At 39.3% G+C, this 24,037-nt stretch overlaps 1 long non-coding RNA gene across 8 annotated transcripts in view; it reads left to right on the top strand.

The window, feature by feature from the left end:
* Positions 1 to 24,037, top strand: part of LINC02625 (long intergenic non-protein coding RNA 2625) — an 89,240-nt gene that overhangs the window by 25,850 nt on the left and 39,353 nt on the right. For 2 of the 8 annotated variants that reach the window (XR_002957080.2, XR_001747459.2), the window contains exons 1-2: positions 20,679 to 20,921; positions 21,941 to 21,962. The exons of 3 other annotated variants lie outside the window; for them this stretch is intronic. This is a non-coding gene — a long non-coding RNA (long intergenic non-protein coding RNA 2625). Of the gene's footprint in view, positions 1 to 17,864; positions 17,946 to 20,678; positions 20,922 to 20,963; positions 21,006 to 21,094; positions 21,306 to 21,940; positions 21,963 to 24,037 lie in introns of those variants that run through there. 3 more of the 8 variants (XR_002957081.2, XR_001747463.2, XR_001747462.2) reach the window with 3 other exon arrangements.

Here is a 24,037-nt window from a genome sequence, read left to right as displayed (position 1 = left end):
CTCTGAGGCTCAGAGAAGTAAAGTAACTTACTTAAGGTCTCACAACTAGAAGTGATAGAAATGGGGCTGAAACTTTGATCTGTCTGACACCAAGCCTGAGCTGATATTATATAGTTTACTGAGAAAAGTTTGAACTGTTTCAACATTAAACAGAGAGTAAACCGTATCTGTGAAGCATCAACAAAATTTTATTAATTGATGTCTTATTCTGTCTTTCCTTCCTTCATTCAACAACTATTGAATAGGATCTGACAATGTGTTAGCCACTGTGCTAGACAAAAAAAGAACTGCATTTAAACCTCCCTCCACCCAAGGGACCTGTCTGGGTCCTGCCCATAGCTCCTCACCCTCATGGCTTCAGAGCATACCAGCCTGCTTTTCTACTGCCAGCTCCTGCATTTGTCTGCTTGAGAGTTTCCTTCAGCCACCAAAACCTGATTTTCCTGCCTGTGTGGACAGCTGCTAGTACCAGGGAGTTAATGCCTCAAAGGAACAACCTCATCCAAAGGCTGATGGCAGCTGGTGTATAAATATCCCAGCTCCCACCCCTCTGGTGGGGTAATTCTGAGGTGTATGTTCTACAAGGCCTCCCTGAGTTTCCTCATTAGGGTTAAACAGTTGCCCACAGTGGTAGCTAGCTAGACAACACACTTTGCATTGACTGGCTTCCCTATCCTGTCTCACTTTCCTACTCCCCACCTGGGGTTTCCTTTGCTTCTCAGATCAACTTCTTGCACTCAAATCCTACTCAAGGGCTGGACATGGTGGCTCATACCTGTAATCCTAGCACTTTGGGAGGCCGAGGCAGGAGCATCACAGGAGACCAGCCCAGGAAACATAGCGAGACCCGGCCTCTATAAAAAAAATGGAAAAACGTATCCAGGCATATGTCTGCAGTCCCAGCTACTTGGCAGGCTGAGATCGGAGTATTGGGTGAGCCTAGGAGGTTGAGGCCAAGATCCTACCACTGCACGCTAACCTGGGCAAAGAACAAAAAAGAAAAAAAAATCACTGTTTAAAGGTCTATTTCTGGGGGAACTCACCTTATGTCAGGGCCCCTAGGGGTTCCTCTATTCTATCATTAGTGGATATTTTGTATCTTAAGACAAGTAGCCACACTTAAATTGTCTTAGGAGTTAACTCCTGGTCCAGTAGCGGTTTAACTTATGTTTAACTCCGCCTCTCCATGAGTTATGTAGAGTTATTGAGTGCTGTCACCTACTACATCCTGGAACGTTACTAGATATTAAAAAAATAATGTACCAAACATTCTCCTGAGAGAAAACTGCTATTACTTTCAAGAGATTTACTTTGTGAGGCCTACTAGGGCAAAAGATAGTTAGAGAATAAGGACTAGAATATGATATTATTTTCCTTTTCCTGAATCTAACTATTTTGAAGGAAGCACTTATTGCTGTTGCTGAGAAGGGAAGTATACACCAGTTTTTGTCAGGTAAAGAGGAAGTCCGAATGAGTGAGCCTGGAAGCCATCCTTATCTCCTCAGAGGACATTTTCATTCTGCTGTTCAACAAAAGTTGATTGAACTTTAACAGGGTTTGAGCCCCAGGCTAAGCAGTATGCAATACACATAAACACGAAAAATGGAAAAAAGGCCAGACTCCATTTAAGTGTTCGTGGATCTGGGAATGGCAACCGAAATCCCCCTTTTCAGGGTTCATTTGGGTGGTAATACATTTCATTCTGGAGAACAACAGAAAATCAAATTGACTTTAGTATGTTTGCTTGATTTTAAAAATATAATCCTAGGGGGAAAGTGGCCTGTCTGTGGAGACAAATGGTTACCAATCTCAAAATAGTTTTCACTTTATTTTTATTCAGCCAACAAACATTCGCTTTTGGAGTCTTAACCTAATTTCCCAGAGTTGCCTGGCCTATCTTTCTCCTCTAATTTTAATGTTCTGCCCAAGTCTTTAAGGTCTCTGTTGGTTAATGTTTAATGCTCTCCACGACCAGTGTTTGATGTTCACACTTTATTGGGCTAACCAAATTTGTAGAGCAAATTAAATGTGTGCAGGTCTCTGGCAAGCCACGTTTAGATATGTGTTGCTCAGAAACCATCTCCTTGTTCAATACTGCATGCCCCAAATAGTTTCAATTAACTGTTCTTCTTTTCTGGCAATATCTGAGCTATCTACATTGCTTTTGGGGAGCTATTACTTCCTAAATTTACGAATGTTACAGCCTCATACCCTTATGTTTCCAGAAAACATGTCACGGCAGAGAACTCCACTACTCTGTGAAATGAGAGCGTCAGCAAGAGGTAACCTATTAAACCAGATTGACCAAAGACCAGAAAAATACACTAGGGTTGGAGCAGGGGAGGCTGGAGAAAGGAGGGAGTAATAATTTGAGTTGGTATTTTTGTTTAGAAAAATACACATACTCTAAGAAAACGTACAGGTGGAATAACACAACAGTTTAGGTAAAGAGCCATTAATATAATTACCTGAAGACACATGTTGTTTTTCTTATACCCATGAATTTAATTTCAGTCTTCTTTTTTGAACAAACTGAAAAGGCAGATGGTACCATATCATAGTCATGGCTGGGGAAACCAAGGCCTGAGTTCCGTGTTCAGCTAGATGGGGCCTCCCCCTGGTCTGACCTTGGCCAAGCCCTCTCTTTAACCTCATGGAAAGTCATCCAGGAAAGAAGAGAGTTGGCTATGATCTCGAAGTGCCTTCCAGTTTGGGCATTTTTTTTCTTTTTTTTTTTTTTTAAGACAGAGTCTCACTTTGTCGCCTAGCCTGGAGTGCAGTGGCCCGATCTCGGCTCACTGCAAACTTCTGGGTTCAAGTGATTCTCCTGCCTCAGCCTCCTGAGTAGCTGAGATTGCAGGTGCCTGCCGCCATGCCTAGCTAATTTTTGTATTTTTAGTAGAGATGGGGTTTCACCATGTTGGCCAGGCTGGTCTTGAACTCATGACCTTAAGTGATCTGCCTGCTTTGGCCTCCCAAAATGCTGGGATTACAGGCTTGAGCCACGGTACCGGTTTGGGCATTTTGGAATTCAATTATGTCTTTAACTCCATTTATAACGTTTCTAGGGAGAGGCAGACATGGCTTACAATAATCTTCTTAAACGATACAAGTTTTACAAATATTTGCCCAATAAACTACAACTTAATTTCTTCAAAGATTGCCTTGATTGTGGCTATCAGCAATTCTTCATTTTTTCCCTTAAATTTTATATTTTTTTAATTACTGAGACAGGGTCTCACTCTGTCATCCAGGTTGGAGTGCAGAGGCACAATAATGCCTCACTGCAGCCTCAACTTCCCTGAATCGAACGGTCCTCCCACCTCAGCCTCTTGAGTAGCTGGGACTAGTAGCGCTAGCACGTGCCACCATGCCTGGCTAATTTTATTTTTTTCAATTTTTTGTAGAGACAGAGTCTCCTTATGTTGCCCAGGCTGGTTTTGAACTCCTGAACTCAAATGATCCTCCTACCTCAGCCTTCCAAAGTGCTGGGATTACAGGTGTGAGCCACCGTGCCCAGCCATAATTCTTTCTCCATCTTTCCAAACTGGTATTGTCTTTTAGCCTTGCTGAGAGACACCCAGTTTTGACTGGGTATAAGAAAATATTAAGAAGGTTCTGGGGTTTAATCAGTAGACGAAAATAAGGAATCCCCAAGTTTCGGGGTCACTGATGGACTTTGGGGTTCAGGTTTCTTGGGGGTCAGATTTCCTGTCTCAAGGCTACCAGAAAGAATCCGGCCAGGTCTGGAGTGATAGCTGCTTTTCTGGCACATCAGCAGGGGCTGAACCCTAATGTGTTTAACAGTTGGACTTATTTTTAATCTACTGTATTAGGAGCACAAATTTAATCAAGAACAAATTGTTACCAATGTTGTTTTTTGTTCTTGCATATGCATATATCCTTAACACTGTTCTGTATTCCCTTGTGCTAGAAAGCTTTCCATCTGACATCTGACTTATTTCATAACATTAGTTTTTTTTTTAAGTACAAATATATGTGGAGAAAAAAAGAAACGAGGAGCTGAATTTCCACTCAATGCAGCCCCCTTACTTAAAGAACTAGCTGCAGTACAGATTTTAACAATTAACATTCCTGCCGTGAATGTCGTTATGGATGGAGCTAATAAATGTTTTCAAACACTCTTCGGCTCAAATACACGTTCAGCTTATTTTCTGTCATTTGATGGCATTGGTGGGTTGAGACATTCCTCTAAGCCTTTTTTTTTCTCCTTTCTAGTAAAAGAAAGAGATCTTATCTCCCTACCCACCCTAACCCACCCCTTTCTCTGCCCTACCCGCTCTGTGCCTACTAAACCTTACTTTCAGGTCAGCAGGCTGGTAACAGATTAATTTCACTCTGTGAGGAACACCAAGTGTTTTGGCCAGGACACATGAGAATCCTGTTATAATATTACCGTTTTTCTAAATTAAATATTAGGAAAAATTAAACTAAATTGTGGCACACAGTGCAATGGAAAATATTTCTCTTCCAAACACTTCTCTGTGATAAATGTGTGTGTAGCTGAAAGCACAATAAATATGCACTACTTAAAAAACCCAGATTATTCAGGTTTTAAGACTTATAGCTAAAAGTGGTTTAATGTTTCATGCCTAATAATAGATTACTCCTATCACATTTCTAACCTTTATTTCTCCTCGCTTTGAAGTCCAGCCATATAAAGGTTGTTTGTAGAACCACACGAAAGTTAAAGCAAATATTACTTAGAGTGATTCATACCACCAAGAATTTGCAATGAAGGCAGAGGTTTTTTTTTTTTTTTTTTTTGGTGTGTATGTGTGTCTGAATCAAAGGAAATGAAATGTTTGTAATATTTTTTGGTTGATAAATTTATTAAAACATTTTAGAGGCTTGTAGTAGAAGCACAGCTGAAATAAACAGACTGACTGGAAACAGATTATATTCTGCTCTGTGGGGGAGGCAGAATTTAAAGGGGGAAAAATTCCCTGGATTTCAAAAATTGCCACCAGGTCACAGCAATACTTAATTAACTGAATACATTATGGGAGGGTTATAACATAGATGCTAAAAAAAGAGGGCGGGGTGGGGGGGAGTAGTCAAATTCATTTAATCCTGTGTTCTTTGCTTACAGATTAGCCTTTCAGAATGAGCAACCTGATTTTTTTTTTTTTTAAAAGGATCCATTTACCTTCCAGAGCTTTTCATAGCAAAACATTTTGCATGGTTGCAAAAGAAATTAATTTGTTGCCAGTTGCTCCACACTGGCAGGAATTCTGAATAAAGAATGTAAGCAATCTATCTTTGTTTGCAAGATATAATTAATCTGGCAGTTAAAATTCTTTGGAAACATTCTGATGACTTATGTGGAAAAGTAGCGCAGCATTTTCAAAGAAAACTCAGAACTGTATGCCGGGGAAGATAAAAGATATATGAAGTGTTTGTTCTAAGCGATACTATTCATTTAAAGATCATAATGTAACCCCACCCTAGCAATTATTGTGAAAAACAAGACAAATCTCCATCTATAGCTTTCTGACACAGTCTTGATTTGAGAAACAAAATAAGCACATTACTGTTATAGTCTAATAGACTGCAAGCTGTTTTATTAGAGTCAGCTGAATCCTGTTTTGCATAAAAAAGAACTCTGTTTGCTATCAAGAACACATTTACATTAATATGACTTTGACAAAGTAAAATAAAATCGCATTAAGATGATGTAAGTAGATAAGACAATGAAATCTCTGTGAGAGAGTTTTGGCACACACTAATTACAGTCAAGTCCCTGCAGAAAAAGAACATATTTTTACACCAACTATCCATGTGTTTGAAAATGTAGAGAGCCCAAAATGCAATCCTTGGTTTAGGTATTTCCTGAATACATTGTATTTCTGTGCTTCTGAGATAGGGTTTTTTTTTTTTCTTTAAAGGAGGCTGCCCGATAAATAATACTTTCATTTACAATAATACAAGCAAGTTTCTTTCTGAATACTAGCCTGTAATCATCCTGATTATTTTAAGGGACTTTCCAATACAGGGCAGCTGAAAACAACGTTTTAGATTACATGGTAATTTAGGAATGCATGAAAAGCTAAGCAGTTACCATAATAGGGTTCTGGATAAACTTCATGCTTTTTAGAGCAAAACATAACAACATATGTTTTGTGATTTGTTTCAATGATTTTTCTATATTTTTTTTGTTCAGGTTCTATCAAAATATTTGGAGGCCTCATCTGCGTACAGCATTTTTATAACCTTATTTTGAAAACTTTGATGTCTCTCTTTTTAGTTCAGTCATTAAAAGAAAGGCAATGATGGATGATGATAATGCCTCGGATTTTATGACTAATCAGTTCTTGGCAGTGGCCATATTTCTTCCGTAGTGAAACTTTAATACTCCTTTGGCCTTGCATAGGCTTAACAACAACAAAAAAATTTTTTGGAACTGTGTTACACCGGCTACTTATTAAGTATTAGCAAACAGTTATTATACAAAAGTTAGCACTCTGATTTAACACCTGACAAAATGGAGCAACCAGGAAAGATGATTTCTTCTCTTTTCTGGATTCTCACAAATTTTAGGTGCCTTGCTATTGTGTTTTTTTTCCCCCATGTTTTACATACAGGAATACGGAGAAAAGCTATTCAGATGGTAGAAATATTGAGGGGGAAAAAGTCTTGTAGGGGTGAGTTGGGCTGCCATTTGCATTTTTTCTTCCTGAACCGTCTTTTTGATGACACAATTTTTATGAAAAGCCTGATTTTCTGCCCCGAGTCTTAATGTATTGTTCTTGAAGTTGCAACAACAAACACCAGGTGTCTCCACTTAGCTGAGCTACAGGTTCTGAAAAGGAAGGCCACTTTGCCAGGAAAAGTTGAAGCTACCTTCCTTTTCCCTCCCTAGTGCTCCTGGCCGTGGCCTAGACAAGGCCAGAGGGCTGGCTGTGAGTAGGGGAGTGGAGTTTATTCTTTCATGAGTGCTCAGTTTAAAGCCTATTGACTCAGATTTGTAAGGGAACCTGATTTTTGTGTGGAAGTCATGAAGACTGGCATCCGTGGAAATACTGATACCAGTGAATTAGGCAGCTGTGGCCTGTATTGCATGCCTGTTCTACTCTGGTGGGGACCTGCCATCTTGGTTGGCAAGAAGCCCTTCCTGGGTGGATGGGGGCCTTCTTCTTTTAGGATAGCCAACTCCATGGGGACCTTCTGGCTGAGAACAACCAGATCAGAGACCCACAACCTAATGTGCTGGCTTCTTCTCTACCAGGGGCTGATGTCCCAAATCCCAAGTTGCTATTTCCATGAGCATATATTCTTCAACAAATAATCAGTTAATCTCTACTGTGTGCCAGGTACTGTCCTAAGCAGTGAAAAAACTAGAAAAACCTGCTCTCATAGAGCTTGCGTTAACATATGTCCCTTCCATTTGATGCCTGGGGTAAAAATCAATTCTGGTGTTTCTTAAAATGTGTTTTGTGGCATTCCAAGGATGGTAATAAGTATTGTGCTGAGAAATGTTTTCATATTTCATTATGCTCTGGAACTGCTGGGTTAAAAAGTGTCTAGATGCAAAACTCCTTAGTAACCTCTATATGCTAATTTGCATAGTCCCTTTCTAAGAGATGTCTTATTTCTCAAATATATTTGGCTAAGGAATAATTTTTTAAAAAATAAAAACATTCTCCAAGCCAATTTTTAAAAAACAAAATATGTCATTATTATCCTAGAGAAATATTCCAAACATTTTATTCTGTTACTCAAACACTACCTTCATAATTCTTATCCTGTCAGTTGGTCATCCTCATTATTTTTAAACCTAGAAATTACGCTGGATGTTTAAGTGAATGTTCTGAGGAATATACTTTGGGAAAAATTGCTTTGAGTAGTAGACATTCAAAGATTGGAAGATTTGGAAGCTAGAAGGAGGTAAAGAGGTTGGGGCTTAGAGGCCACCTGTAAGAGGAAAGAGATGTTTGCCCCTAAAAACGTGACTGTTGAAGCTGTGCTGGTATCCTTGCAGAAGAAAACTCTGTTCTCCATCAGTTTCTGAGCAGCCATCAAACAACTATTTTGGAAGACGGGAAAGCTAAGACATATGGGTTCCAGTCCCAGCTCTGTTTTTAACTAGCTGGGCAATCTTGGGGGTAATTTACTTACCTTTCGGTCTTAAATCTAATGCCCAATAAGTGTCGAATATACATTAAGCCACTTAATCATCAAACAGTTCTCTGAGGTAGATCATGCATCTACAATATTCCTTATAGGGAAGGAATTAGAGTAACAGATTAAGGAACTTGCCCAAGTTACACAGCTAGGAAATGATGGGCCCAATAATATTGGATGATGATCTTGAATCAGATCACTTCAAAATCTAACATTGTATGATTATAGAAGGGTGACTTTTGCTATGTTTCATATCTATTGTGATTGGCAGTCAATCCTCTAAGCAGAAATCGTTCATTAGTCAACAGAAGTACTGAGCATGTATTCTGTGTCAGACACTAGCCAAGGCCCTGACACTAGCCAAGGCCCTGGGGAATTTACGGGGAAGAAGGCAAAGTCCCTGCCCTCAGGACTTTACAGTCTAGTAGAGGGTGGAGCACAAGTAAACATGCATTCTACCTTTATAGCTAAAACATTATTATTACTAATATTTCTATAGTGAATCATTGAAATATTATGGTAGACTATTCACAAAAGCCAAAATGTGGGAACAACCCAAATGCCCATCAACTGAGGAATGGACAAACAAAATGTGGTATAGCCATATACAATGGAATATTATTCAGCCATAAAAAGTAATGAAGTACTGATGTATGGTACAACATGGATTAACCTGAAAAACGTTATGCTGAGTGAAAGAAGCCAGATACAAAGGGCCACATATTGCATAATTCCATCTATATGAAATATTCAGAGTAGGCATATTTATAGAGACAGAGGACAGATTAGTGGTAGCCAAGATCTGGGGGACGGGGAGAATGGGGAGGGACAGCTTAATGGGTACAGTGTTTCCTTTTGGAATGATGAAATGTTCTGCAATGCTTGCACAACATTGTGAATGTACTAAATGTTACTAATAGCAACTTTTATATTATGTGTATTTTACCACAGTAAAAAATGCAAAAAATGAAAGCCACGATGGTAGATAAGGCCAGGCTTATTGTTGTCATTTCAAGTGAAATCACTATTCAGCACCTGCATTATGAAAAAGTGGGCTCAGCAGTGTTTGGATATAAAGGTGAATAAGATGTAATCCCTGTCCTTACAGATCTTAAAATATACTTATAGGAGTAATAGAAGATCAGCAATGAATTACAATAAAGCATGATTAGATTAGCATTATACTGGAAGAATAGGCAAAATGCTGAGGGATATTTAGAAGAAAGAAACAATTCACTTCTAACTGAAGTTATTGGAAAATCCTCATGGAGGAGGTGGTGGTTTGCCACATTCAGCCTGTTTCAACCTTTCTCTTGAAGGCTAAATAGAAATTCAGCAGACAAAGAAGGGAAAACCAACACACAGGGAGGATAAAAAACTTGCTGGATGTCACACAGCAGTGACAGAAATGGAATCCTAGGCTCCTCATCCTAGTTGAATTTCATTTGATTCTCATTATTTGTGGATTCTGTATTTGTGAATTCACCTACTTGCTAAAATATATTTCTAACTCCAAACTAATACCTGGGGCACTTTCATGGCCACTGATGGATGCCACGCAAAGTGACAAAACATTTGAGTCACCTGAAATGCATGTGCCCAGCTGAGGTTGTACACCACCGCATTCGGCCTTCTTGTTTCATCTCTGATACTGTCAACAAATCTGTTGCATGCCATGTTTTTCACATGTTTGTGCTTTTTGATGGCGATTTCACGTTTCAATGGTCCCCAAGTAAGTGCAAAGTGCTGTCTAGTGTTCCTAAATGCAATTACGGAGAAAATGTGTGTGTTAGATAAGCTTTGTTCAGACATGAGTTATAGTGAGGTTGGCAGGGGGCTCAATGTTAATGAATCAAATAGTATATATATAATATAGTACATATATGATATTATACACACTATAATACATATATTATACTATGTATACTTTACTATCATACGTATATTATTTATATTGTATACTATATATTATATATACTATGTCACATAGTAATCCTGTATATATACTAAATATAGTACATAATATATAGTATTTAATATATTTAATATAGTATTGGTTATATACTATATATGCTATGTAATATATACTATGTAATGTATATATAGTATATAATATAAATAATATATAGTATTAATTATATACTATACATACAGTATATAATACTACAATACTAATTATATATAGAATAATTATATACTATATTGTAACAGTATCTATAGAATATATAAATAATGTATAGTAAATAATATATAAACAATACATAAAATGATATAAATATATGTATTATAGTATATAATATAATACATATTGTATATCATATATTTTATAAATAATGTCTTTAAACAGAAACACTTATAAAGGAAGGTTATATATTGATAGATTGATGAGATGAAATTGTGACTAGAAGCTCACAGGAACTGAGCCTAGTATTTCCACTAGGAGCCATGGCTCAGTATTCCCTAACTCAGTGTGTGTGGCAACTTTGTAGAAGCTAACTACTGCAAGTAACGGGAATCAGCTACTTCTCTATCCTCTACTCACAGGTTTGAAATTGAGCTATTCCTTCTCTGCTCATCACTCATTAGCAATCCACCCCCTGGATGAACACACACACACACACACACACACACACACACACACACACACACACACCCCTACCCAGAGATGGTTACAAAGTTTTCAGGATTCAAAGCAAAATGAAAATGCAAGACCCCTTGTTCAATAGTTCCTAAGAATTTCAGATGGCAGGAGCAGAGGATTAAACCAGGTATTGGGCTTCGTGTTCAGGTCGCATGCCCCAGAAGCCAGCCCAGTTTTTCCCTCCACCTAATCAGTCGTGTCTTCACTTCAGCACTTGTGCCTCTTTTTTCCCTGGGATCAAGAAATACGATCATTGTTTACCTTGCCTCATTTGAGATAAGGAGTTTACCAAACCATTCGTATCTCTGGGGAAGAGGATAATGAGCTCACAGACGCACATTCTGTGACCTGGTGGCGGAAGGGTTGGTTTGGCCTTTGGCCTCCTGGAGTCCAGTGACTTGGAGGGGTTTCATTTTCTCACTGACAACCAGCCAGAGACACATGGGCTTGCATGTCAGAGCCAAACAGAGCTGCAGAGCTCTCCTCGGCCTCTCATGAGTCTCCTGGGCCACATTCTCTGAAAGAAGTCTCCTGCCTGATTTGGTAGGTCCCAGTTTAGCCTCCTTGAAGTTCCTGGACAATGCACAGGTCTTGGCAGCCTCTCGCAAGCAGCCTTTGTTCAGGGACTGTGGACTCTCCAGCCGGAAGGTGAGACTTCCAGGACAGAAGCAAAGGGAGGGCATGGCAACAGAGTCCTGAAGAGGATTCACTTGGCTCATGCCTTTTACAAAAGTTGGGGCTCAAGTTTTCAGCAAGGAAAGGACAGGAAGGGAAGAGTAGACATCAAAAAGCAACTCACTGAAGACAGATCCTGGAGTCAATTTCCTTATCTCAGCTTCCCTCACTCCTGCTCTTTCTCTGACCAACTAGGAGTGGTACAAAGCGGGGAAATGCCTTGCAGGCTTTCGAGGAAGCAGTCTTGGCTTCCTTTTGGAAGGGAGGATGCAGGCCAGCTTGCTGGGCTTATTAATTGTTCCCTTGCTGTTTGCAGCTGTCTTCGTCTCTTTCTCTGCACAGGCACATCTCACACAGCCTTCAGAGCTACCTTTCCTCTAGAAAGCCTTCTGAGCCTTGGTCAGGTCAGGGGCTGCATTTGTTTCCCAGGGCTGCTGTTATGAAGCCCCGCATACTGGGTGCCCTAGAAAACAGGCATTTATTGTCTCACAGTTCTGGAGGCCAGAATTCTGAGATCAAGGTGTCAGTGGGGTTGATTCCTTCTGCAGGCTGTGAGGGAGGATCTGTTCCACGTCTCTGGTGATTTGCTGGCCATCTTTGGCCATCTTGAGTTTTCCTTGGCTTGTAGATCTATCACTCAGATCTTTGCTTTGAGGACCATGTGGTAGTCACCTTGTGTCTCTGGTTTCAACTTTCCCCTTTTTATGAGGACACTTGTAAGGCCCACCCTACTCCCAAATGACCTCATCTTAGCTTCACTAATAACATCTGCAATGAACCTATTTCCAAATAAGGCCATATTCCAAGGTATTGGGGGTTCAGACTTCAACATATGAATTTTGGGGAGGGGACAAAATTCAACCTGTAACAGAAGCCATGGTGGAAGTGAACAACACAGGTAAGATTTAGCAAGGTCGGTGCTAATGGAGATGGGCCAGACGAGAGTGCCCAGAGTAGATCTGGAAGGGATGGGACCTGGAGTTTGACAGAAACTATGGAGGCAGACTGTGATTATTTTTAAAGCCAAGCACAGCAAATTCAGACTTGGTGTGGAAGGCAAGTCAGAGCCACCATAGGTTTTTGAATTGCATTGTAAAACTGTAAAAATGGCATTTTGGGACAATGACACAGACAGTATCATAGAAGTTGGATTGAAAGAAGATGTCAGTAGAGTCAGGGAAAGTAATTGGAATCTGGGCTATAGTGAGAGTGGAATAGAAAGGTTGGGAGAGTTTTTAAAGGAAAAGAAGACGGTAGGATTTGATGACAACTGGATTCAGAAGATGACAGCATTAACAGTGGGAACCCGGATTGACAGTAAAGTTCAGAAGGGAAAGGTGGGGATCGAGGGGTCTGTGTGTGCATGTGCATGTACACACATGAGGAGGTGGAAGTCTTAGTTTGGGATGTGCTGAGTTTAAAATGATGTATATAGCATATAAGAGGACATGTGCTCTATGGTCAGCAAATTCTTTCTATAAGGCGCCAGTTGGTAAATATTTTAGGCTTTGCAGGCCATGTCAGCTCTTTTGTAACTATCCAAGCTTGCTGTTATATTAGGAACGCAGCCACAGACAATGTGTAAGTGAGTGAGCATGGTTGTACTCCAATAAAACTTTATTTACAAAAACAGGCAGCACTCTGGAATTGGCTCAAGGGCTGTAGTTTGCTTATTCCTACACTACATAATGGGAAATGTGATATAATCATAGGTTATAAGGAGGGAGAACATAAGTCCTTTAATGGCTGGTTTTGTGAGTTTTTTTTTTTTTTTTTTTTTTTTTTGAGACAGAATCTTACTCTGTCAACCAGGCTGGAGTGCAGTGGCATGATCTCGGCTCAGTGCAGCCCCACTTCCTGGGTTCAAGTGAGTCTTCTGCCTCAGCCTCCCAAGTAGCTGGGAGTACAGGTGCATGCCACCACGCCCGGCTAATTTTTGTATTTTTAGTAGAGACGGGATTTTACCATATTGGCCAGGCTGGTCTCGAACTCCTGACCTTGTGATCCATCCGCCTCGGCCTCCCAAAGTGCTGGGATTACAGGCGTGAGCCACCGTGCCTGGCCTGTGAGGTTTTTAGAATGATGAATATTCAACCTTCAGTGGGAATCTATAATACCAATGGGAACTTATTCATGCTTGTAACAAACATGTTATTGAGAATGAAGGAGGGGCCAAGAGTGCTCAAATGTTATCACAGTCACTCTCCACTGACCACTTTGTGAGTGGGTAATTCTTATTCCCTTTTGACAGATGAGATGATGGAGTAAACCCTCAGTAAGGTAACTTGAGGCTGTTAAACTTTCCTCCTGACTCGGAAGTTTAGTAAATCTCTAAGTGGAGGACTTCCACTCAGGCAGGAAGGCTTTAATAGTTTGCATGAGTCAATGTCAAATTTAATATCTGCTTATATGTTGTCAAAGTTTTAACTCTGCACTCAACAGTTTTCAGGATAACTGCCCTCTGTGTTCTTGCTAGAGAGTAAGGTCTTGAAATTGTGTAATAGCTACAACCTGTCAAGTACCTGGAAGAGAGGAAAATTGAGAGAAGATAATTTAAGGCTCATGTAATCTCCTCATTTCTCTAGATTACCTATTTTTTTAAATTGATCAAGTTGATTGCTGGGTCCCCCACAGAATAATCATCATGTAATTTAAGACAAAGCATTGATCTCTTTGTTATAATTGAAAATGCTTTATAGATTTTGCTGTTTTAGCTGAGAATTATTATTGAAAATATTGTTTATTACATCCCCCTATATATTGTTTCTTATGAGAAAATTATCTCAGAATTTGACAGAAGAATAATTCTTTTCTCCTGAGAAGATATGATTCTGTTCTTCAGCTAGACAGAACTGTGCAACTAATTGTGTTTCCCTTTTTGATTGGATTTCCAGGAAGCTCAGAGCTAGGTTTAAGGCGCAAAGATAATAGCTATCGTCACTTAACATCAAAGTACTTATGTTTTCCAGGCTGCATCACCTTTTTAGTTCCAATTTTATTAATTTTTTCTTTTCCTCCCATAAGCTGCTTCAAATACTTCTTGGAGAGAGATGAGTATTTTTTTTTTTTTTTTTTGAGATGGAGTCTCACTCTTGTAACCCAGGCTGGAGCACAATGGTGTGATCTCGGCTCACTGCAACCTCCGCCTCCTGGGTTCAAAGGATTCTCCTGCCTCAGCCTCCTGAGTAGCTGGGATTACAGACACCCACTACCTGGCTAATTTTTGTACTTTTAATAGTGACAGGGTTTCACCTTGTTGGCCAGGCGGTTCTCAAACTCCTGACCTCAGATAATCCGCCCATCTTGGCCCCCCAAAGCGCTGAGAGTACAGGCGTGAGCTATTGTGCCTGGCCAGAGATGAGTATTTTTTAAAATTAAATTTAATTGAGTCAGAATCAAGATAGAGAGTATTTCAGTCAATCAAGATTGTTACTTAAGTTTCTTTAGACTTGGGGAAAAATGTTGAAAAAGAGTTTATGATTAAGAGCAGATATTTGCTTGGGTGACCGTTAGAGGACATTGACATTTGCTCAATAATGACCAATTATTTCATATCTGTTGAGGGATCTTCCTCAATGGACTATTATACACATTTGCCTTACTATTTGGCAAGCATTGAGGAGCTGAGGGCATCAAGCAAGCATAAGGTTTGGAGTTAGAAGATGAGGACTTGTTTTGATTCTGCCACTAAGTACTCAGGTGACTCCGCATAGGACACACAACCTCCGCTGGATAATTTTGAATGTCCCTTCAAATGTAGCTTTCTATAGGAATCTGTTGTCTACCTTCCTGCAACTGTCTGCCAATCACTCCCTTGCATATTTCCTCAAGTAAGTAAGTCTTATTTTTCTAGGAAGACTCTAAGCATCAGGGGGGCAGGAGCTATATGAATATGAATATAAGGCATATGAATTTATTTTTATATTCATTGAATCGTAATACCACCTTATTCCAAATAGATTCAAGGTGGCTTACAAAGATAAATGCAATAAAATAAGATAAAAATTTAAACTAAAGAAAAAGTGTTCATGTGGAAGGAAAACAGATTAAGACTACAAAGATGAGCAGGTAGGTAGGTAGTAGGCAGGCACCTGTAGAAAAAACCAGTCTCCATCTGTCTCCAGAGAGCACATTTGGTTTCTGCACAAACACAAATTGCCTTGGAAACTGAAGCAAAATGGAATGAGTGTGAAGAAATCTCTTTGTTTTAAATTAAATTTAACCATCACATGATGGAAACATAGCGCATCTTGATTGAGTGTTAAAAATCAGGTGCCGAGTCACTGATCACTAAAGGTATTTACTGGATGTGGTAAATGGAAATTCCTTCAGACAAAAAGGGCACTGCAGAAGTTCGGGAGAGATTTGCTACAGTGGGACAATGGACAAGAAAGATTTTGCTTTAGAAGGAAAGTGTTTGATGAGGAAAAAGTCTTGGTTCATTGTTGCCTCCCTGTGGTTTCCAAAGTATGAGGGGCTGCTTTGGGAGCAAAGCAGATAGCAGTGAAAGTGCAAAACAAGGCAAAAGCAGGGTGGAGGAATTTAGCAAACAGCACTTCTTATGAAATTAGTGAGTAATAAGGTAATATAGGGGGCTGTTCCTTTTTATGGGAAATATTCTCTGCTGAGTTCTTCAAATGAAATATTCTCAAATACTGTAATGCACTGATATGAAAGATTTATGTAGCAAGAGGCCTTAACCGATAGCAGAAGAAATTTGAGGCTATGAAAGTTGGCAGTACTGTCATTAATACTTCATTCATTTAACAAATATTTATAGAGCCCTTACCACGTACTGGATACTGTGCCAATCACTTTAGGGAGTGAGGGCAAAGGAGCAAATAATGAGTAATTCACCATATTTGTCTTAGAGAAGCTCACATCCTAAGAGGGAGATGACATCAAATGCATCCGATTAATTCATTAAAAGCACTTATTGAGCACCTATGCTATACCAAAACTAGTTCCAAGTGCTAGGTATGTAATGCGGAAGTAACAGAAACAGGATCTGTTTTGAAGTATTATGTTAGAAATCAGCAGGGTTTTTTTTTCTTTTCCTGCTCAACAGAGAATTAACACAAAGATTTTGACTGCTGAGAACTGCAGAGATTAAACAGAATTAGAGAGAGTGCAAATAGTATATAATAAAGCAATAGAAAAAGAAACAGGCCACAACTTACAGGTTCCCTTTCACTCCTGAGCAATTTCTTGGTAGACTTATTACTAATACATATTTATCTACATTTAAATACATAGTAAGATTTTCTTGCTTCTGAAGATTGAGGTCATTGGTTACCTAAAATAATGATCTTGTACCTTATCTAGTGGCGGAGCCTGGAAAAATGATCTGAGATCCAGAAGAGAATCCAGAGATAGCTGTTATATAGTAAATGTCACTAGACCCTGTGCTGCATGTCTGTGGCAGACATTACTAATAGATCACAGCACTTCTTCCTGCTACGCCTGGATGTAGCCTCAACATTCTCCCTTTGAGAGAGTACCAGGTGGCCAGAACTCGTCTTGGCACGTAAGACGAAACCTTCATGCCCTCTGAAGGCCCTTCACTCCTTTAAATATGTTCCAACCCTTTTTAATGTAAGAAACAACTGAATACTTTGGGTTTCTTTGGGGCTTCTTCCTTAACTCTCTGTTACATTCTTGTTTCAAAGTTTGGTTGAGATTACTGTCTGACAGTTGTTAAAAGGTGATGGCAATATATTATTACTCAGGACTTTCATAGCTTTAGGAAATAATAACAATTTTTATTTTTTATAATATGGAGTAATTTAAATAATTTTATGTAATTATAACATTTATTATTGTCATAATCCGTGGCATGAATTAAACATATATAACCTCCCATGCACTATATTATGTGCTTTACCTGCACATTTTATTTGATCCTCATAGTAACCCTGTGAGGTAGGTGCTGGTAGTGTCTTCTGAAAAGAACTTGCCCGAGGTCCCACCAATAGTAAGTAGTGGAACCTGAATTCCAGTCCCCGGTATTTGATGTCAGAGCTGAAGATTGTTCCCGCCTGCAGTCAAGACTGTGAGGTTCTCTCTCCCAGGAAGTATGGCTGTTCTTCTCCATGAAAAAAATGATCCTCTTCTTTATAAAATCGAAGGCATCATCTGAATTTTCAGGAGAAAGAATAGAACCAAGTATGCCCTTAAACTTACGTTCCATCTTCTTAATCTGACAGAAGGAAGAGGAAGCAGGTGAAGTGTCTGTCCTCAAGAGTTAGTGGCTAGTCCAGGACCATCATTGCACACCCGTGTCCCCATGGTCTCCACTGCCCACGGTCATGGCCATTATGGGGAGTCAACAGCTGACACAGAACAGCGGGTCTTGGGGAAGGGGAGTAAGTGGTTGGACTGCTAATATATTTTTCTTCGTCCAGGGCTGTTGATGAACTGATTTGAATTTCAATTTTTGTCCTGTCCTATACTCATTCTGGGATAAAATGGACAAGAAGTCAAGGTAGGCATTAGAAAAGAGAAACAATAGACATGGACTCAAAGAATAATAATTCCCAGATAATCAAGGGTTGACCTTAAAGAGGAAACATCTTATTTTCTGAACAAATATTCACAGGGTTAAGATGTGGATTGAATGAGATAGTGTAGGAAATAGCAAAAATAATACTATTTATTGAACTCTTACCATATGCTGGGTACCTCTTAAAGTGCATTACATGGATTTTTAAGAAAATTGCATGACTAGGTAAGGGAGATATTATTTTTTCTCTTTATAGTTGGGGAAACTGAGGATCAGAGAGTTTACGACACTTGCCTAAGGTAATACAGCTATAAAGCGTCCACCCAGGTCAAACCAGGGTTCTGCTATAACTTAGGTTCTTAATTAATCTGTTAAATTTGACCTATGTGAAAATGGTCTACAAACTATCAAGCATCAAAGAGTGAATTCATCATGCAGTTATTAAGTTTAAGCTTCAGGGTCCCTGGCCGGGCATGGTGGCTCACTCTTGTAATCCCAGCACTTTGGGAGGCCAAGTGGGTGTATCACCTGAGGTCAGGAGTTTGAGACAAGCCTGGGGCCAACATAGTGAAACCAATCTCTACTAAAAATACAAAAAGTAGCCAGGCGTGGTGGCAGTTGCCTGTAATCCCAGCTACTAGGGAGGCTGAGGCAGGAGAATTGCTTGAACCCAGGAAGTGGAAGTTGTGGTGAGCCGAGATTGCACCATTGCACTCCAGCCTAGGCAACAAGAGTGAAACCTTGTCTCAGAAAAAAAAAAAACCTTCAGGGACCCCTCACTTGCTAGGGCCTTTTCTAAGACCTCGGGAGGGGCCTCATTCATATTTATAATTTTGCATTTTTTTTAACTTAAAGAGCCCCCAACCCCACCAATTATGTAAACTTTGGGCCCACAAAACTTGCATCTGGCCCTGAAAATACCATATTATTCTAGACTAGATGGTCACATGGTCCTTCTATTCTTATCACCTACCACCCCGTGGAGAATGTGGTATGAGTAGAGCCTTCTCTTTTCTTTAGTATTATTCATCATTCAAATTCCTGGTATTTCCCTTCTCTGGAACCTCAATTTATTTAGACAGCAAGCTGTGTTGGGGACCAATAGCTTCAAGCCACTCAGCAGAAAAGTATTAATCTTTTCTCTGGCATCTCACATATGACATCGCCAATGGTGTGTTTGCAACCCCTTGTGAGAATGTCCACTCTTCTAATTATAGTAAATGCAGTCAAGGAAAAAGGGCCTTGATTTTAAATAAAGAGCCGTGAATTCTGCATTTGCATGTCATGCTCTGAAGTAATCTTTTTCTGAGTCATGGATTATAAATTATCAATTTAGATCAAGCCACAAAAAGCACTGTGTTTTGTTAATTTGGGGCCTTTGGAAAGGGCAAAAAAATTCTAGTCAAATATCCTAAGAGATTCTGCACTCTCCAAAGTAAAACATCTTGGTAAGTCACTAATAGTTCTTGAGCGACTACACATTTAGGACGAGAATGTATTTATGCTAAGTGAACTAAGTTTCTGGAGCTGTGACAACGTAGAATATGTGATTACTAGAAGATTCAATAAACACTTGAAAATGTAGAATTAATGTAAAACTTGATTTGGAAACTAATTTGGACCATATGATTATTGGGACAAGACATATTTTTTGTTTTCTATAAAAATAAACCCAGATATGTGTAAGGGAGTATTTGTTTGAGCAAAAGTAATGTCACTAATAATCCATGTAACTTTAGATTGCAATGATGATAATAATAATGATAAAAGTTAGCACATTGTTTACTAGGTCAGGTACTGTGCTAAGCACCTTATGTCCATTATCTCACTATTCCTTACAAGTCTATCATTGTCCCCATTTTTCAGATGAGGACACTGAGGTAAAAAAAAGTCGAGTGACTTGCCAAGGTAGTTTGGTACATCATGGACCTGAAATTTGAGTATAGTCTGTCTGATAGCAGAACACAAGCTCTTAACCACTCTGCAAGCATTTTGCCTCTTTGGGGTTCAGCTTTCCTATCTGCAAAATGAAGGGCTTGGCCTTCCTGATCTCTGCCATTTCTTTCAGCTCTAAAGCTCTAGGGTGTTATGATTTCAAGTTACAATCCTCTGGCAGCAAAAGAGCTCTTGGTATTTCACTAATATGTTTGTTTTTCTAATTGATCTCTACCAGCTCAGGGTAATTAAAACCCCACAGCTCTTACATTCCCCAAACAAACAGAAGCGTGCATATTCACCACTCCTCACAGCAGTGCACATGGCATTGTTTATGCATGGCACCTAAGATAAAAACCAAATATATGGTGGAAAGTAGCAAGCTTTGTGAGAACAGAGGAGTAAGTGTGTGTACCTTCCAGTCTAATGTTCTGTAAGTTTCTGCATATTTACCAACAGTAGTAAGTGTTGACTTGATCCAAGGCTCCCATCAACAACCTCAGATGTTCTATTAGTGAATCATACTTCACATTCATGGTAAATATATGATAGAATGATGGGTTTAGAAATTTAGAATACCGTTCAGCAGCTTGTGATCCAGATAACCATTTATTATGGCCATAATAACAGAATTATCAATATGAGAAAAAACACTCAGCCTTTCTGGATTAAGATACTCTCATGGCCGATTCCTTTGTGCACAGCCTTAGTTACCATGGGGATCACGATGTAGAGTGTTCTAAGTTCTTGGCATTGCTGCCTGGTGAGTGCGTCCTTACCTTTGGGGTAAAGTTATGTGCCTGAATGAAGACAGAAACAACAGGATTTCCTACAAGGAGTGTGGATGACGCATCTCTCTATGTAGCCAGAGCTCTTCAAGTGCAGTCTGTCAGGACAAGAAGAGGATTCTTTGTTCATTTCATGAAGTTACTGATTACTTCCTTTCCTGGCTTCGTGTTAGGTGGCATTGTAACCATTACAATGCAGTATTTGAGGCCATGCCCTCAGGAACTTATAGTAAGGGTGAGAAGATGTATGTAAAACTCTATCTGTAGGCTTACCACTGCACAAACTTCTTTCTCTAACTTGTCTTAACTTCATGATAAGGTAATATTGGAAATAGGCCTTAAGGGATAAGAATTTGGACATACAGAAATTGGGGTAAGGATGTAGCGGATGGAAAGGCAGGAGGAGAGGTTAGGTGAGGCAAGAAAAGGAACAATTTGGGCCTAGGACAAGACTGTCTGTATTTTTCCTTTGTAGCGTCACTATAGTTGTCATTTTTTTGCGTTATTATTTGCTTATTGACTGTCTCCTAGATTGGAAGATAAGCCCTTTGAGTCAAGGACTAGGGACGAGGTCTGTCCTACTCATTGATGTATGCCAAGTGCCTGTGACCACATATAGGTACATAAAGGGGCTCAGAAAATACGTATCATAAAAAGGGAGGAGGGAAAGTTTGGAAAGGGACTGGCCAATGGTGAACACATAGCTAGAATCTCAAGATCAGAGACATAATAGTAGTTTAATTGCCCAGAAAGTTAGAAAACTTTTTTTTTTTTTGAAGTCAGAGTCTTATAGTGGTCATAATGCTAGCTAGGCAGCTAGCAAGAATTTTAAAAAAAATGGAAGAGCAGGCATTAAGACTAGGCAACAGGGGAGAGAATGAGGGCATTTAATTCAGCTCAGCAAGCAGGTACCACCTACGAGCCAGGCATTATGAAGTGGCAAGGGTATGAGTGTGTACAAGAGAGGTCAAGATCAGCTTAAATTGAAGTTTGAAGGAGGGAAGATTGTGTCTTTGGGATAAATAGTAGCTTCACGGAAGAGGCAGTGTTTCAAGTAAAATTTAAATAACCAAATTTTATAATTTTTTCAAGAATGCAATCCAAAGTCCAATCTTGGATTTTTCTAGAATGGAAGTGGAGAGGGCATTCTAATAAAAAAATAGAGGTGGGAAGATAAATAGCTTTTATAATGAACCTGTGTGCCAGATACTTTGGTATGTGCTTTACTTAAATCATCTTACTTATTCTTTGCAGATCCAATGGAGCAAGATTATAGGTGAGCAAACTGACCTTTTTAATGGGTCTGTGACTTGAATCCAGGTCTGTCTGACTCTAATCTGGCAAGAGTGATTATAATAATAGTTAATCACTATTGAGCTACCTACTTTCTTATCTGCTTGGGAATCTCTTTTCTTCATGAATCAACTCAAGCATGACTACCCTGATACTTTCCCTGTAAACCTCTGCATGGGGTGCTCTATATGTGCTCTAATTAGAATATTTATCTCACCATATTGCAATTGTCTAAAAACACCCATTTGGAGCACAGTGGATTGTGAACTTGATGAAGAAATGGACTGAATATATCTACTGCCTTCTAAAGATGAACTCCAGGTGGCCCTTCTTTGTGTAACCAACAATTGAATTCAAAATCTCATGTGGGATCATCAGATGAACAGAGTCTGGATTAAACGGCTGTGCCCTAGCTGAAAGAGAGGCTGGAAAAGTGAATTCCTGATATCAATTTTGTGATAAGGGACTAATAACGTGGGGAGTCTCCTGTCATAGGTGTGGATGTTCAGATGAGGTAAACATCCAAAAAAGAAATACAGAGAAGGCAGAGCTGTTAAATTATTTCCCGAAGCAGCTCTGAGTAAAAATTAGACACTGGTTTGAGTGTGGGTTATGGAAAAAGGAAGAATGGGAGAAATGATAAAGGAATTAGCATCATTAAAATGATGCAGGTGAGCCACACTCTGTGGGGGCAGCAGGTGGCAGAATTTACCATCTTGAGCTCAATATGGGCATCAGTGGTGGGACATCAGTGATCTTAAGGGTATATGAACATATTTAAAAATATTTTAATAGTTATTTTAATGGATAACAGCAAAATAATTAGCACATCAAACTTGTGAATTCACAGTGTTATTGCTTAGGAGAAGGTTAAGGTTAAGTTCAGTTTAAAAAGAGTTATTCAATATTAAAATGATGAAATAAATAATACAGCAGGTGGCATATAGCTATGGCATGATTTCTGAAGGTAGCATGGGAATGGCTGAAGTTTGGGGAAGTTTATACATGGACACAGGAGGCCAGAGCTTCACTCATCACCTATGTGTGTTTTATCTCACTGGGCCTCGTTTTTTTTTGGGTTATCTATCTATCTATATTATTTATTTGTTTATTTATAATTCAACTTTTAAGTTCAGGGGTATATATGCAGGTTTATTATATAGGTAAACTCATGTCACGGGGCTTTGTTGTACAGATTTTTTCGTCTCCCAGGTATTAAGCCTAGTACCCATTCATTTTTTTTCCTGATCCTCTCCCTCCTCCCACCCTTCACCCTCTGTTAGGCCTCTGTGTGTGTTGTTCCCCTCTGTGTCCATGTGTTCTCACCATTTAGCTCCCACTTATAAGTGAGAACAGGTGGTATTTGGTTTTTCAGTTCCTGCATTAGTTTACTAAAGATAATGGCTTCCAGCTCCATTTGTTTTCCTGCAAATGACATGATCTTGTTCCTTCTTATGTCTGCATAGTATTCTATGGTGTATATGTACCAGATTTTCTTTATCCAGTCTACCATTGATGGTCATTTAGGTTGATTCCATGTCTTCACTATTATGAGTAGTGCTGCAATGAAAGTATGCCTGCATGTGGCTTTATGATAGAATGATTTATATTCCTTTGGGAATATACCCAGTAATGCGACTGTTAGGTGGAATGGTATTTCTGTGTTTAGGTCTTTGGAGAATTGCCATACTGTCTTCCACAATGGTTGAACTAATTTACACTCCCACCAACAGTATAAAAACGTTCCTTTTCTGTGCAACCTTGCCAGCATCTGTTATTTTTTGACTTTTTAGTGATGGCCACTGTGACTGGTGTGAGATGGTATCTCATTGTGGTTTTGATTTGCATTTCTGTAATGATCAGTGATGTTGAGCTTGTTTTCATATGATTGTTAGCCACATGTATGTCTTCTTTTGAAAAGTGTCTACTCATGTCCTTTGACTGGTTCTCAATTTTATACTTTATGTTTTATAATCTATCTGGGCCTCAATTTTATACTTTATGTTTTATCTCACTCAGCCTCAATTTTATACTTTCAAGGGGGTCAGCACTATCTTG

This window comes from Homo sapiens, chromosome 10, assembly GCF_000001405.40.
Source record: "Homo sapiens chromosome 10, GRCh38.p14 Primary Assembly".
NCBI classification, from domain to species: domain Eukaryota; kingdom Metazoa; phylum Chordata; class Mammalia; order Primates; family Hominidae; genus Homo; species Homo sapiens.
The sequence above is the reverse complement of the archived record's forward strand: the minus strand, read 5'-3'. Positions and strand labels throughout refer to the sequence as shown.